This window comes from Homo sapiens, chromosome 13 (genome assembly GCF_000001405.40).
Source record: "Homo sapiens chromosome 13, GRCh38.p14 Primary Assembly".
In the NCBI taxonomy this organism is placed as follows: Eukaryota; Metazoa; Chordata; class Mammalia; order Primates; family Hominidae; genus Homo; species Homo sapiens.
In genome coordinates, this window is record NC_000013.11 from 77,197,771 (window position 1) to 77,215,829 (window position 18,059).

Here is an 18,059-nt window from a genome sequence, read left to right on the forward strand (position 1 = left end):
ATTACAGAGAGGTGAAGGGAAGGAAAAAAAAAGACTGACTACTGTTGAAAGGCCTTAGCCCACTCACTGGATAATTGAATACAAAAGGCAAGATCATTTCCAGACAATAGGAGGAGTGAGGTAAAATTTGAGTTTGAAAAAGAAAAATAGGGCCAATATAAAAACAACATATATGGAAGGCCTCCATAATTCTATATACTACAGTGTTTGAAGATAAGGTCCACTACGTTGTTCACTATTCCGAAAAGAAAAAATCTCTTAGAGCTAGAAAAAAAAATATCCTCCTGATGAGCTTATTAGACATTGTCAAATAGAACTACATAACACATTGAGGTTGCTTCTCTAACGTGAGGATGAATCAAGACATCCTAAAATAACCATTTTAAAGCAGTTGCACTGAAATGAGCCAAACTACTATTTTTCTTATTATCAAAATATATGTGCTACAAGAGTCCTAATCATTATTCTATCACTATACTCCATATAACTATAGGAGCTTTAAATTTTTACTTTATTCATTCTTACATTATCTGCTTTTTTAGCATGTATTCCAACTATAACCAGAAATAAGCAAATATTTCTTTAAGTTTGTCAGTTCTGGTTGGGCCTCCATGGGGAATGTCCTTGGAAACCAGCATTATGAAGAAGAGTGTTAACATATTGATATCATTTTTAGATATTATTGAGAGAACTAAGAAAATACCTCCTGAACAGATGACATTTAATCGAGATTTTTTTGTGAAGCCTGCTATTGAAATTCAGGCAGAAACTATAGTTTTCTCTTTCACTTTTAGAGCAAAATCAGGTAATTTGAGAAGCAGAACATTCAAGCTATTAGTGAATATTCAAAGAATGAACATATACTTTGTTTAGGATAATTTGTTGGCCCTTTTGGATACGAATAGGTGTGGTAACATATGACTCTCAATGATTTTTAGTTGGCCTACCAGATGGAATCCTCCCCTAACACTATCTCTCACTCCTCCCGGTCTCCACTCCTGGGGTGAAGATGTCTGTTTACATACTACATCAAAATGTCCCTAAACAGTTGTGCCTCCTCTGTCATTAAAATGGCTATAAGAAAGTAGCCACATAAAAAGGCACTGGTATTGCTAGGCCACCAGAAGTTCCACAGAAAGGACTGAGATATAGTCTTTCTTCAGTGGTAAATTGTTGAAAATAATTTTCCTTTCATTTCTTCCCTTCTTACAGAATTTTGATTTTTTTAATGAGTTATTAATTTAGTATTACTGTAGGGGGGGAGGAGGCAAGATGGCTGAATAGGAACAGCTCCGGTCTACAGCTCCCAGCGTGAGCAACACAGAAGACGGGTGATTTCTGCATTTCCATCTGAGGTACCGGGTTCATCTCACTAGGGAGTGCCAGACAGTGGGAGCAGGACAGTGGGTGTGCGCACCATGCGCGAGCTGAAGCAGGGCGAGGCATTGCCTCACTCGGGAAGCGCAAGGGGTCAGGGAGTTCCCTTTCCTAGTCAAAGAAAGGGGTGACAGACGGCACCTGGAAAATCGGGTCACTCCCACCTGAATACTGCACTTTTCTGACGGGCTTAAAAAACGGCACACCAGGAGATTATATCCTGCACCTGACTCGGAGGGTCCTACGCTCATGGAGTCTCGCTGATTGCTAGCACAGCAGTCTGAGATCAAACTGCAAGGCGGCAGCGAGGCTGGGGGAGGGGCGCCCGCCATTGCCCAGGCTTGCTTAGGTAAACAAAGCAGCCAAGAAGCTCCAACTGGGTGGAGCCCACCACAGCTCAAGGAGGCCTGCCTGCCTCTGTAGGCTCCACCTCTGGGGGCAGGGCACAGACAAACAAAAAGACAGCAGTAACCTCTGCAGACTTAAATGTCCCTGTCTGACAGCTTTGAAGAGAGCAGTGGTTCTCCCAGCACACAGCTGGAGATCTGAGAAAGGGCAGACTGCCTCCTCAAGTGGGTCCCTGACCCCTGACCCTCCAGCAGCCTAACTGGGAGGCACCCCACAGCAGGGGCAGACTGACACCTCACACTGCCTGGTACTCCAACAGACCTGCAGCTGAGGGTCCTGTCTGTTAAAAGGAAAACTAACAAACAGAAAGGACATCCACACCAAAAACCCATCTGTACATCACCATCATCAAAGACCAAAAGTCGATAAAACCACAAAGATGGGGAAAAAACAGAGCAGAAAAACTGGAAACTCTAAAAAGCAGAGCAACTCTCCTCCTCCAAAGAAACACAGTTCCTCACCAGCAACGGAACAAAGCTGGATGGAGAATGACTTTGACGAGCTGAGAGAAGAAGGCTTCAGATGATCAAATTACTCTGAGCTACGGGAGGACATTCAAACCAAAGGCAAAGAAGTTGAAAACTTTGAAAAAAATTTAGAAGAATGTATAACTAGAATAACCAATACAGAGAAGTGCTTAAAGGAGCTGATGGAGATGAAAACCAAGGCTCGAGAACTACGTGAAGAATGCAGAAGCCTCAGGAGCCGATGAGATCAACTGGAAGAAAGGGTATCAGCGATGGAAGATGAAATAAATGAAGTGAAGCGAGAAGGGAAGTTTAGAGAAAAAAGAATAAAAAGAAACGAACAAAGCCTCCAAGAAATATGGGACTATGTGAAAAGACCAAATCTACGTCTGATTGGTGTACCTGAAAGTGATGGGGAGAATGGAACCAAGTTGGAAAACACTCTGCAGGATATTATCCAGGAGAACTTCCCCAATCTAGCAAGGCAGGCCAACATTCAGATTCAGGAAATACAGAGAACGCCACAAAGATACTCCTTGAGAAGAGCAACTCCAAGGCACATAATTGTCAGATTTACCAAAGTTGAAATGAAGGAAAAAATGTTAAGGGCAGCCAGAGAGAAAGGTCGGGTTACCCTCAAAGGGAAGCCCATCAGACTAACAGCGGATCTCTCAGCAGAAACTCTACAAGCCAGAAGAGAGTGGGGGCCAATATTCAACATTCTTTAAGAAAAGAATTTCCAACCCAGAATTTCATATCCAGCCAAACTAAGCTTCATAAGTGAAGGAGAAATAAAATACTTTACAGACAAGCAAATGCTGAGAGATTTTGTCACCACCAGGCCTGACCTAAAAGAGCTCCTGAAGGAAGTGCTAAACATGGAAAGGAACAACCGGTACCAGCCACTGCAAAATCATGCCAAAATGTAAAGACCATCGAGACTAGGAAGAAACTGCATCAATTAACGAGCAAAATAACCAGCTAACATCATAATGACAGGACCAAATTCACACATAACAATATTAACTTTAAATGTAAATGGACTAAATGCTCCAATTAAAAGACACAGACTGGCACATTGGGTAAAGAGTCAAGACCCATCAGTGTGCTGTGTTCAGGAAACCCATCTCACGTGCAGAGACGCATATAGGCTCAAAATAAAAGGATGGAGGAAGATCTACCAAGCAAATGGAAAACAAAAAAAGGCAGGGGTTGCAATCCTAGTCTCTGATAAAACAGACTTTAAACCAACAAAGATCAAAAGAGACAAAGAAGGCCATTACATAATGGTAAAGGGATCAATTCAACAAGAAGAGCTAACTATCCTAAATATATATGCACCCAATACAGGAGCACCCAGATTCATAAAGCAAGTCCTGAGTGACCTACAAAGAGACTTAGACTCCCACACATTAATAAAGGGAGACTTTAACACCCCACTGTCAACATCAGACAGATCAACAAGACAGAAAGTCAACAAGGATATCCAGGAATTGAACTCAGCTCTGCACCAAGCGGACCTAATAGACATCTACAGAACTCTCCACCCCAAATCAACAGAATATACATTTTTTTCAGCACCACACCACACCTATTCCAAAATTGACCACATACTTGGAAGTAAAGCTCTCCTCAGCAAATGTAAAAGAACAGAAATTATAACAAACTGTCTCTCAGACCACAGTGCAATCAAACTAGAACTCAGGATTAAGAATCTCACTCAAAACCACTCAACTACATGGAAACTGAACAACCTGCTCCTGAATGACTACTGGGTACACAATGAAATGAAGGCAGAAATAAAGATGTTCTTTGAAACCAACGAGAACAAAGACGCAACATACCAGAATCTCTGGGACACATTCAAAGCAGTGTGTAGAGGGAAATTTATAGCACTAAATGCCCACAAGAGGAAGCAGGAAAGATCCAAAATTGACACCCTAACATCATAATTAAAGGAACTAGAAAAGCAAGAGCAAACACATTCAAAAGCTAGCAGAAGGCAAGAAATAACTAAAATCAGAGAACTGAAGGAAATAGAGACACAAAAAACCCTTCAAAAAATTAATGAATCCAGGAGCTGGTTTTTTGAAAGGATCAACAAAATTGATAGACCGCTAACAAGACTAATAAAGAAAAAAAGAGAGAAGAATCAAATAGACGCAATAAAAAATGATAAAGGGGATATCATCACCGATCCCACAGAAATACAAACTACCATCAGAGAATACTACAAAATCCTCTACGCAAATAAACTAGAAAATCTAGAAGAAATGGATAAGGGATTCCTGGACACATACACTCTCCCAAGACTAAACCAGGAAGAAGTTGAATCTCTGAATAGACCAATAACAGGATCTGAAATTGTGGCAATAATCAACAGCTTACCAACCAAAAAGAGTCCAGGACCAGATGGATTCACAGCCGAATTCTACCAGAGATACAAGGAGGAACTGGTACCATTCCTTCTGAAACTATTCCAATCAATAGAAAAAGAGGGAATCCTCCCTAACTCATTTTATGAGGCCAGCATCATCCTGATACCAAAGCCGGGCAGAGACACAACCAAAAAAGAGAATTTTAGACCAATATCCTTGATGAACATTGATGCAAAAATCCTCAATAAAATACTGGCAAAACGAATCCAGCAGCACATCAAAAAGCTTATCCACCATGATCAAGTGGGCTTCATCCCTGGGATGCAAGGATGGTTCAATATATGCAAATCAATAAATGTAATCCAGCATATAAACAGAACCAAAGACAAAAACCACAGGATTATCTCAACAGATGCAGAAAAGGCCTTTGACAAAATTCAACAACCCTTCATGCTAAAAACTCTCAATAAATTAGGTATTCATGGGACATATTTCAAAATAATAAGAGCTATCTATGACAAACCCACAGCCAGTATCATACTGAATGGGCAAAAACTGGAAGCATTCCCTTTGAAAACTGGCACAAGACAGGGATGCCCTCTCTCACCACTCCTATTCAACATAGTGTTGGAAGTTCTGGCCAGGGCAATTAGGCAGGAGAAGGAAATAAAGGGTATTCAATTAGGAAAAGAGGAAGTCAAATTGTCCCTGTTTGCAGACGACATGATTGTATATCTAGAAAACCCCATCATCTCAGCCCAAAACCTCCTTAAGCTGATAAACAACTTCAGCAAAGTCTCAGGATACAAAATCAATGTACAAAAATCATAAGCATTCTTATACACCAACAACAGACAAACAGAGAGCCAAATCATGAGTGAACTCCCATTCACAATTGCTTCAAAGAAAATAAAATACCTAGGAATCCAACTTACAAGGGATGGGAAGGACCTCTTCAAGGAGAACTACAAACCACTGCTCAAGGAAATAAAAGAGGATACAAACAAATGGAAGAACATCCCATGCTCATGGGTAGGAAGAATCAATATCGTGAAAATGGCCATACTGCCCAAGGTAATTTACAGATTCAATGCCATCCCCATCAAGCTACCAATGACTTTCTTCACAGAATTGGAAAAAACTACTTTAAAGTTCATATGGAACCAAAAAAGAGCCCGCAAGACCAAGTCAATCCTAAGCCAAAAGAACAAAGCTGGAGGCATCACACTACCTGACTTCAAACTATACTACAAGGCTACAGTAACCAAAACAGCATGGTATTGGTACCAAAACAGAGATATAGATCAATGGAACGGAACAGAGCCCTCAGAAATAATGCCACATATCTACAACTATCTGATCTTTGACAAACCTGAGAAAAACAAGAAATGGGGAAAGGATTCCCTATTTAATAAATGGTGCTGGGAAAACTGGCTAGCCATATGTAGAAAGCTGAAACTGGATCCCTTCCTTACACCTTACACAAAAATCAATTCAAGATGGATTAAAGACTTAAACGTTAGACCTAAAACCATAAAAACCCTAGAAGAAAACCTAGGCATTACCATTCAGGACATAGGCATGGGCAAGGACTTCTTGTCTAAAACACCAAAAGCAATGGCAACAAAAGACAAAATTGACAAATGGGATCTAATTAAACTAAAGAGCTTCTGCACAGCAAAAGAAACTACCATCAGAGTGAACAGGCAACCTACAAAATGGGAGAAAATTTTTGCAACCTACTCATCTGACAAAGGGCTAATATCCAGAATCTACAATGAACTCAAACCAATTTACAAGAAAAAAAACAAACAACCCCATCAAAAAGTGGGTGAAGGACATGAACAGACACTTCTCAAAAGAAGACATTTATGCAGCCAAAAAACACTTGAAAAAATGCTCACCATCACTGGCCATCAGAGAAATGCAAATCAAAACCACAATGAGATACCATCTCACACCAGTTAGAATGGCAATCATTAAAAAGTCAGGAAACAACAGGTGCTGGAGAGGATGTGGAGAAATAGGAACACTTTTACACTGTTGGTGGGACTGTAAACTAGTTCAACCATTGTGGAAGTCAGTGTGGCGATTCCTCAGGGATCTAGAACTAGAAATACCATTTGACCCAGCCATCCCATTACTGGGTATATACCCAAAGGACTATAAATCATGCTGCTATAAAGACACATGCACACGTATGTTTATTGCGGCATTATTCACAATAGCAAAGACTTGAAACCAACCCAAATGTCCAACAATGATAGACTGGATTAAGAAAATGTGGCACATATACACCATGGAATACTATGCAGCCATAAAAAATGATGAGTTCATGTCCTTTGTAGGGACATGGATGAAATTGGAAATCATCATTCTCAGTAAACTATCGCAAGAACAAAAAACCAAACACCGCATATTCTCACTCATAGGTGGGAATTGAACAATGAGAACACATGGACACAGGAAGGGGAACATCACACTCTGGAGACTGTTGTGGGGTGGGGGGAGGGGGGAGGGATAGCATTGGGAGATATACCTAATGCTAGATGACAAGTTCGTGGGTGCAGCGCATCAGCATGGCACATGTATACATATGTAACTAACCTGCACATTGTGCACATGTACCCTAAAACTTAAAGTATAATAATAATAAATAAATAAATTTAAAAAATTTAGTATTACTGTATTCGATTTTAGCAATGTTTTCTCTATCGCTTTTTAAAAAGAAGCATTAAAAACAAAATAAACCCAGTTAAAAAGGAAAAAAATTAGACATTAAATAATAAAATAATAAATTAAGTCAAAATCAGTATGTTCAAACAAAAAAGGACAACATTGTTGATGAACTTTACCTTAATTTTAGCAGTATATTCTCCTCTACCTCCAAACAGACCAAGACCACCAAGTAAAATATCAGTGTCGGCACTGAAACGTATAGCTTCTACTGAATGGGCAGAATAACCCCAGCCTCCTCCATGACCTAGAATATATAAATCATAATCTATGTTTTAAAAGATCCATATATATTTCAGTTGTAAGACAACATTTCCTAAACCGAAGTATACATACTTTCAAACCTGTTTACCACACTATAATCTTCTTTAGAATAAACCTTCATTACTGCTTGAGTCTCTTCCTCTGTACTTGCAACACCCATTTTTAAGTCCTGCATAGCTGCCAAGGTATCAAGACAACCTAAAACAACAAAGAAACAAAATTTAACTCCTTGAAATTAAAATGTCCTATGGTATTGATGACATTAAATGCTATAGGGGATAAATTAAAATAAATAAACTCAGAATGTTACTCCAAGCTTTAAACATCATTTCATGGAAGAATGCTTAAAACCAATACAAATTATCCCTTGTCTGATTAATGATCATATTTAAACTTGCCATACGACAACCTTTTACACAAAACTGGATCTCTGAAAAGTTGAAATCACTTAACCTTTGAATTCTTACAAGGTTCTTCCTTTTATGAAACTCCAAATTAGTTTGATTCTTAAAGTGCTATTTGAGGAAGACACATTAGTGTCACACAAACTTAATCAACACTAGTTTTGGATGTCTACAATAGAAACCAAAATGAAATTTGAGAAAAAAGAAACAAAGAGTTATATTTATGATATGGTAATTATATTTAGGAATATGATTTCACACCTGCAAGTGCTAGAGTCTGAAAATGAGTCTTTTTAAGGATCATTTTTAAAAGCAACAAAATACATAGTTACATAGAGTGATATAAAATTTCCAGTTACAAAATAATATATTGCACTACATCTCAAAGTAATTAAATAAGTACTACATCTCAAAGTAATTAAATAAGAATGAAGTTGATATGCTGTGGAAAACTGTGTTATATAAGAAGAAACAGAAGATGTATATAAAATTCATTACATTTTATAGAATTTATTTAACATAATATACATAAATTAAATATTATATACTTGAAAATTTTATCATATCTTTAAAAGTTTATACATTCAAGTTGAGCAAAAACATTATTTTTAAGGGTCTACCTCTGTGAAAATTAAATAATTGGGCATACATAAATCTTTGATAGTGTTAGTACAGGTCTCATGTATTGTTTTCTGTGGAATTAGCCTCTTAGAGGATTTAACTTATTTTGTACATTATTATTATTTAACAAACAAGACAGAATTACATATAAATTTAAATACTCTAAAAAAAAACCCTGGACAGCACACATTAATGTGAATTAATGGTACATCAAATCGCAACCCTACCTAAAATGTGCAAAGCTGCATGAGATCGGGTAGTGAGGGCCCTTGATCCTGTTGGTAAGGCAAGTTCAGGACTTAGGATACTACATCTGGACTGCATGTCTGCTGCAGAGGGAAGCCTGGCATCAGCAACCACCGCATTGTAACACCACAGCTCTCTAGTATTTGGTCGAAACCTTTAAAGAAAAAGAATAATTACAGCACCTCAATGTGGTTTTGTTTTTAAAAAAAATTCCTAAAACATAACTGATGATACAAAGAGAATAAATAATATAGTCAGCTTAAAGAGGACAAATGTAGCTCATTATCTTCTGGATCTAAGCTAAACATATAAAAAAACTATATCACTAAAAGTGAAATAATTTGAAAATAGTAACGTAGATTATAATACTTAATACAGAAAATAGTAATGTAGATTATAATACTTGACTGTATAAAGTTTTGATACATACATATAAATATGAAACTCAACAAATACCCCATTAAAAAAGTTTAAAGACAAAGGACAAGTTGAAGAAAAATGTGAAGTGTACCTGTGAGACACAGCTACAATATCCTCAATGTATAAGAGCTAGAAACAATCAATCCATAGCAAAAATTGGCAAGGACATGGAATGCTATCCATAGAAAGGAAGCACAGATAGAATGGATGTGGATGTTCAACCATATGAATAAACAGTAAAAACCAATTAAAAACTATTAGGAACCCACAACGTCTTCATCATCCCATTTCTCTGATCTCTTTTGTAACAAAAACTTCAAAAAACTATCTCCACTTCTTTACCTCTTTTAGGGGTCGGGAAGTGAGGGATGCAAGCTATTGTTTAATAACTATAGAGTCTCAGTTTTCCAAGAAAAAAAAGTTCTGATGATCTATTTCACAATAACATAAATACACTAAACACCACTGACTGCAGACTTTCAAAATGATTAAGATGGTAAATTTTATACTGTTTTTTTACCACAATTAAAAAATTTTAAATTATTTTTAAAAAGCACTTAAAATAGCATTTGGGAGAAAATATATTATGGTAGCTTCTATAACTAGTAGCATTAATATTATTGCATTATTGCTTTTGGGAAGTTCTGTTGATCTCATTGTTTAGGTAATCATTCTTTTCTCTCTGGTTGCTTTTAAGATTTCCCCTTGGTCTTTAGTGTTCAACAGTTTCACTAACTCTCTTGATGGTAAATAATAGAAACACATAGTTTCTAATATCCATGGATTCAAATCTCTTTTTGGTTCTGGAAAATTCATGGTAAGAGACAAGAAGATACTAGAAATTATCTGCCCATCCCCCCACCAAGCCCCACCCGCCCCAGCCCCAGATGAATGAGTATTTGACTGCTTCCTCTACTCTATGTTTACTTTAACTCCAAATACAAAATTCACTGTTCCCTCTACCCCTTCCTTTTCATGTGCAACATGTGGATTCAGTAAGCCTAATCAAAACCTTACAAGAATGTGACCACATCCTCTCATTTTTTCTTTTCCTTTTCTCCTCCTGCTCTCTTTTCCTCTTTAAATGCTGAAGGCCTCAAACCTCTTCAGAAAAAGTACAGGGCACAGATCCTGCTGTGGCTTGTCTTTTCTTCCCAGGCATCTCCTCAACCTTGGAAAAATAAACTTCTAAAGTGATTCAGACTTACCTCAGTCATTTTACAATTCTGTGAGCCTATCTTTTAACTCAGCAATTCTACATTTTAAAAGCTAGCTTGCAGAAATACTTCCACATGTGTGTAAAACTCTGTGTGTAGATACCTGTGTATTTGTTCACTGTAGCATTGTAGGTAGTATCGTAATATTAAAAAAAATCTAAAATGTTCACTGATGGGCAAACAGTTAAGTATATTTGGTATACCCAGACTACAGAATTCCACAATTTTAATAATGAAGCTGTTCTTTAAATACTGACTTGGAAAGATCTCTAAATTATTTTTGAGCAAAAAATCTAACTTTTAGAGTAGGTATGTTTTTATTTACATAAAAAGAAAAATACATGCATTTTAAAAGGTGTCAGATGATATAAATCAAACTTCATACTTGTGATCCACAGAGAAGGCTAGTGGAATTCGGTATGGGAAAAGAAACAGATACAGAGTATGACCATCCTTTTTCCTGTATGTATTTTTGCTTTGTTTTTTAAAAAATAACACAAATTCACATATTATTTGTGTAAATTTGTATGTGGGAAATAAAACAGGTGTTCTTAACATTTATCTGCTCTTTATAGATGTTGTTTCTAATTACTCAGGCAAAGTTGGCTCCTAAAGAATATAAAATGAAGCAGATGCAGGCCAGAAGGAAAGTCAAAGTAAGCTAATATTGGATGTGCAATGCATATGATAATTATAAAATTTAAGTGCCCCATTGAAAAACACAAAAGACACAAAGCAGCCAGAAGTCAGGATAACAGAAATTCTGATCCTGATTTAAAGAAAAATACCTCTCAGCTGTTTTACCAAAACATCTCTTAATCTCTGTTTTCCAACAATGGAGAAATTGATCAAGGAGCTGGCAGGGCATTTGAGATCATCTGTCCCATTGCTACTACCATAAATGGAAAAGACAAGGTTCAACCAGCTGAACATCATACTTGAGAGTTCTGTTAAGACCCCACGGAAATGGTTCTAGTTCAAGTAAGTTTTTACTGTTACGCTTAGTTATACTGTTATTGCTAACTTAGTGAATGCATCCAGAAACAGATTCCACACTGCCAATTTTTATTTTTGTTTTGCTAATGCAAATTTACTTCATTTAAAAATAAAACATGTAAGAACTACAAAACAGTAAAACATCAATTTACACCTAAGTCCAAACCAGAGCCTGCTCTTTGGTAACTAAGTCTCTTGAACATTGACTTCTAATCGGTAAGTAACTGCAGCCAATTCTATCTTTACATCTTTTCTCCTCTCTATCCCCTCCATTCTATCCCACTGTGACCATTCTAACTTTGGTTCTTAATACCTCATGTCTTCATAAGAATGATCACAAAAGACCACTCACCCATAGTCTCTTGTTATTTCATCTACCCTGCACAATGCTGCCAGGGAGATGTAATTGATTTGAGATGTACTCAACTCAATACTGGCCACTACGCCTTCTCATAAAATGCCCAAATAAGAGAGGAAGCTGGCCAGCAACCTGGGAAGTGCAGCAGTCTCTTCACTCTGAATGCAAGCCTCGTTATTAATCTCTATTTTGGAACACGGAAGAAAATTACCAAGGAGTTGGCAAGACATTTGAGATCATCTATCCCATTGCTACCACATGGCCTCTTAGAACTTGGCTGTCTGATGAGAATGCAAGCAGGCATGGGTAGAAGAAGGAAGACAGAGAAAAAGTCTCCTCACTCACACTACTTCAACCTTTCAACTTACTGGAATCTTGCCTACTAAGGCCGGCCGCAAAAGGAAAGAAGTGCTCAGCCCTGTGATGAGCCACTGTGGTGATGGCAGGGTACACCTCCTATTAGTATCCAAAGCTAGAAACACTAAGAAGGGTAACTTATTTATTCATTTTGTATATAAAGCACCACAATAATTTTTTTTTCTTTTTTTTTTTTTTTGAGACAGAGTCTCGCCCAGGCTGGAGTGCAGTGGTGCGATCTCGGCTCACTGCAAATTCCGCCTCCCAGGTTCACGCCATTCTCCTGCCTCAGCCTCCCGAGTAGCTGGGATTACAGGTGCCCGCCACCACGCCCGGCTAATTTTTCGTATTTTTAGTAGAGACAGGGTTTCACTGTGTTAGCCAGGATGGTCTCGATCTCCTGACCTCGTGATCTGCCCGCCTTGGCCTCCCAAAGTGCTGGGATTACAGGCGTGAGCCACCGCACCCGGCCCAGCACCACAATAAATTTCAAACAAATGCAACATAATTTCTTGAGTCTCTTTTGTGCCTTATTTATCTCTATGTTTTTATAATTTCCAGAATGCATATAATCCTGTATATTTCTCTACCAGTAAGAGTATTTTTTAATGCACATTCTTAAAGGGCAAGCTCAATTATCTTCTTTATTCTTTATTGTCTTTGGCATAATTTCCTCCTCATAGTTAATAATAATTATGAGAACAAAAAATAGAATGAATTCTATACAATATAAACAGGATTGATGACAGACTAAAAATAACAACAGAACTCTCAACAGTAAAATTAATAATTATAATGATAATAGCAAACACTTATATGGCACCTAGTATGCACCTCTGTAGTATTAGCATCCCCATTTCATAAATGAGAAAACTGAGGCACACAGTCAAAGTAACTTCTCCAGGGTGACACAGAAAGCAAGTTGTGGAGCTGGGATAAACCTAGGTAGTGTTGCTTAAAATGCATGCTCTTAACCACTATGCTACAGTATAAAGGTCCCTGTGAATCACTGAGACAGAATTGCAGTTATTAGATAAACAGGAGAGTACTCACATGTGAAAAGTCCACCTGTAAATAAAGTTTATATTACCATAAGAGTATAACTGCATCAAAACTTATTGACTATTTTATAAACTGAGATGCTTACCTCCAAATTACATCATATACAGGATCAAGACACACACCAAATCCTTGCAGATCCTCTTGTTCTGAGTCATTAAAAGTTTTACAACTCCCATCCACTTTATTTATCAGAAGGCATTTAAATGGAGGAGGTTCTGATATAGAAGCAGGTACCAAGCCTTAAGAAAAAAATATTTATATATAATTTTAATATATATTACCCTTTTAAATTCTCCAAAACCCATAAAGTAGTATTATCTCCATTTCTCAGGTGAATAAGCAGAGAATAAAAGAGGCTAAGTAATTAAAAAATCTTTAAGTGGGAGAATTAGGAATAAAACCTCAAGATGTCTAAATCCACAACACATGCTCCTAATCTCTTGCTATACCACTCTATTATATAATTATTCACAGTATCATGGACACAGTACAGATTGATAACTTGGTCTTCGTGAAATTTCAAAGTTGGATTTATATAACCTCCCATAAAAATTAATTTCTAACATTTATTTAGCAATAAACAATGCATAAAACTCTCTTACTCTAATATGGATTTTATCCTACTAGAATTTAGTTTATAGTTCTACCACTGTCTAGCTCACAAATACTGTGGTTTCCAGATCTCCCAATTATTCCATTCTTTCAGCATAGAGACACATATAAACGGAGACATTTACAGGCTTTGTTTAAATTTCTTTGAGCAGAAAGAAAACAAAAAGCTACAAAAGTACATTTCATTAAAGGGAAAGATAAACCATTTACTATCAATCAAGACAAGAGTTTGGAAGGGGCATTTGTTTATTTCTGGTATTACCTATTATGTGTTTACTGGCAAAAATTTCTGATGTAGCAAGTACATGAGAATTAATAAGTGCTTCATCAATTCGTAAAAAAGTTTGGTCCCCACTTGCACCTATCCAAGTAGCTTTTCTTCCATATTTTGATCCAATGTTAGGCATGGGAGCTGGCTTTGCATTCCAATATGGCACATCCAAAATTGGTCTGCCCAGTTGTCCTTTCTAAAAGATTAAATAAACCATATTAGCAATATTGCTGTGTAAACAATCTAATTTTCATAAAGTTAAGGAGGCAGTAGATAAAAATCAATCTATGAAACCTTATTTTTCACCAATTGTTAGTTTGGGTTTTTAAAATAAATACAATATGTAAGAATTTGGACCAAATATTTATAAAGTAATAAAATAATTTCTATTATTCCTGGAAAGTCTTAAAAAGTGCATTATTTTTTAAAAAAAAGTTTGAAATATTTTCCACGCAAGAAGTATCTCCAAAATACTTTGTCTTCACCTACATTTAAATGAAAAGTACGACAAATACACACAATATGTTAAAATATTAGTATTCCAAATTGTTCATTTAAAAAGTCACTTTGACATAGTAAGTTGATAGTATAAAAGAAAGTCACTATTGAACTCATATAATCTGAGAATATCCATGTAAAAAGACCAAAATAAATACTGAAACTGTGAATACAATTAGAAAAATATGTAATGTTGTTTTCACATGATATGTCCCTAAATTATTTCATTTATGTTTTAAAATAAACAGCACAATCAATGGTAAGATATGATATTTTAAGTAAATAACTATTAACCAGTTTAAAAGTATGGCTCTCTATAGGGACCTGGTCAGGTAAGAGTTTAATTTAAAAAGTAATAGGAAGTTTCTCACTAGTAAGCCTGTAGCTGAAAAAGAATAAAAGAATGCTGACATTGACTCAATAGATATTCTTCCACCCCTGGCTCGGGACCTCTCTCCCCTCACAGCATTCTGGAACAAGGGAGCCTGGAGCACTGCGAACACTCTGGTCACGTTCTCATCCAACCACCAGGTAGCACAGCAAGAAAACACAGCCACAAACTAACTGTGGAAGCAACTGAGCTTCAATCCCTGGACAGAACCAGGGAAGGAAACATGGCAAGCACATGATTAGAGAAGCAGCCAAAACACTCAACATTTATTTCTCATACTCTTTTAAGATCTGTCCTTATTTTTTGACAAAAATAAGAGAGCACAAAAATGTAAACAGGGGCCAGGTGCAGTAGCTCACGCCTGTAATCCCAGCACTTTGGGAGGCCGAGATGGGAGGATCACCTGAGGTCAGGTGTTTGAGACCAGCCTGGCCAACATGGTGAAACCTCGTCTCTACTAAAAATACGAAAATTAGCTGGGTGTGGTGGCATGGGCCTGTAATCCCAGCTACTCAGGAGGCTGAGGCATAAGAATTGCTTGAATCTGGGAGCCGGAGGTTTCAGTGAGCTGAGATCATCATGCCACTACATTCTAGCCTGGATGACAGAGTGAGGCTCTGTCTCAAAAAGAAAAAAAAAAGTAAATAGTGAGCAAAATATATCATATTCAGGGATATATTCTGCTTTTGGAGGAAAAATAAATTAGTTATCTTTTTCATTGACTATTGAAATAAATATGTATTCCCTTACTACCAACTAATATGAAGAAAAGCAGTCCAAAAATGTGTTAGATACCTGGACAACCCCATAAGGACCAGAATGTGGTTATAAATAAGCCACATTTAAATTCATAAAAGTTCACAACTAGGACTGCTGGGACTGGAGGACAATGACTGTCTGACGTCAAATCTTATCACTCACATAACCACCTCAAAAGACACAAAAATATGCTGTGCAAACAAATCTATATGTGACTCAAACCTTCAGCAGTGGAAGGAGACAGCGGGTGTCATGATCTCTATGTTTCCTGTAAGCAGAAGAGCCAAATTCCAAGAGTTCTCTCCACCCACCGGCTACTGCAAACCTGAGCATGTGCAAAGCACGAACAGGGAAGTTCTTAAGAAGGAGGACAGAGGCGTGTGAAGAAGTTAGAAAAAGCACAGGGAAACACATGCCCCCAAAAAGAAAGTTAACCTTCAATGCCAAAATACTAAATATGGATCCGAACTTTGAGGATCAGAGCACCAACTAAAGGCAAAGGAACTTGGAAGTAAGCAGGACCATTCCTCACCCATCAGACTGGCACAAATTAAAGGTACCACAACACATTCTGTTGGCAATTCTGTGGAAACAGGCAATCTCATACACCGTTAGTGTGAAAGCAAAATACAGGAGAATTGTTAATATCTCACAAAACTACATAGGCATTAACCTTCAACACAGTAATCTCACTTCTAGGAATTTATCTCAAAGATACACCTCTAACAATATTCACTACTACCATTACAAAGTATTGGAAACCACGTAAATATATAAACATGAGAAACTGAATGAATAAACTATCATATATACACACAATGGGGTATTACATGGAGGTAAAAAAAAAAATGAAGAGCTTTATGAATTGATATGGAGTGATTTCTAGGAGAGATGCTGAAGCGAAAAGAGCAAAGTGCAAAAGAGCATATATAGGCTATTACCTTTAAAAAACGGGAAAGGGGAAATATATATATTTATGTACAGTCACATGTCACTTAATGACAGGGATATGTTCTGAAATATGTGTCATTAGGTGATTCTGTGATGCTGCGAACATCAGAGTGGACTTATACAAACCTAGACGGTATATCTACTACATACTTAGGTGATATGGTGTAGCCTATTGCTCCTAGGCTACCAACCTGTACAGCATGCTGGTGTACTGAATACTGTAGGCAACTGTAACCCATTAGTAAGTATTTCTGCATGTAAACATAGAAAAGTTATAGTCAAAGTACTTATTATAATCTTATGGGAACACCTTAGCATACGCAGTCCATCACTGACCAAAATACTGTTATACAGTGCATAACTGTGTATACACATACATACATATATAGGTATATATATATAAAATAGTGTGTCTGCATGCTTATATATCTTCACAAGAAGAAACACAAGAAGAATAAACTGTAAAACAATGACATTCATTACCTCCAAGTATGGAATGAAAGGTGTGGGGAGGCAGGAATGTCAAGGATATGGGAGGAAGTGACACCTCTTGAGTATACAATTTTTGTATAACTTAATTTTTAGCAACATGTAAATGTTCTATATATTTTAAAAATGAAATAAAACTTAATCAAAGGATAGGGTGAGGGGAATCTTAAACTGAAACAAATGAGCCCCACTCTATTCCAAAGGAATCACAATTTCCACTGAAAGGAGTGAGAGAGAGAATCCAGGCCACTCATGGACAGTGCTTGACTATACACCTTCAGACTTGGGGTGGGGAGCAGGTGGGAGGGGAAAGAGCAAGAATGACCTTTCAGTGAGTTTGTTTTTTTGAACTTGTACAGGCAAAGCAAATATAAAACTATTTTAGACATATCTGGGGACTAAGTGAGAAATAAATATATTGATATTGTTGAGAGGAAAGATTCTTACTGAGGAAGAAAGTACATAAATATAGAACAGGACAGGTAAGAAAGAACCTTGTGGGAATGGATTGGAAGTAGAAGTCACAGTGGGGTTCTTTTTCTTTCTTTTTGAGACAGGATCTTGCTCTGCTGTCCAGGCCAGAGGGCAATGATGGAATCACAGCTCTCACTACAGCCTCGACCTCCAGGGCTCAAGTGATCCTCCTACCTCAACCTCCTGAGCAGCTAGGACCACTGGCATGTGCCACGGCACCCAGCTAATTTTTTTAATAGAGATGGGGTCTCACTATGTTGTCCAGGCTGGTCTCAAACTCCTGGGCTTGAGTGATCCTCCTAC

General features: G+C 37.3%; 1 protein-coding gene across 1 annotated transcript in view; it reads right to left on the reverse strand.

The window, feature by feature from the left end:
• The window catches only part of MYCBP2 (MYC binding protein 2), a 282,438-nt gene that overhangs the window by 153,114 nt on the left and 111,265 nt on the right, over positions 1-18,059 (reverse strand). Inside the window, exons 22-26 of the mRNA NM_015057.5 lie at positions 14,186-14,390; positions 13,397-13,550; positions 8,883-9,055; positions 7,703-7,828; positions 7,486-7,613 (exon numbers count right to left, since the gene is read on the reverse strand). Of these exons, the coding sequence (NP_055872.4) occupies positions 7,486-7,613; positions 7,703-7,828; positions 8,883-9,055; positions 13,397-13,550; positions 14,186-14,390 (786 nt within the window). The remainder of the gene's footprint in view (positions 1-7,485; positions 7,614-7,702; positions 7,829-8,882; positions 9,056-13,396; positions 13,551-14,185; positions 14,391-18,059) is intronic.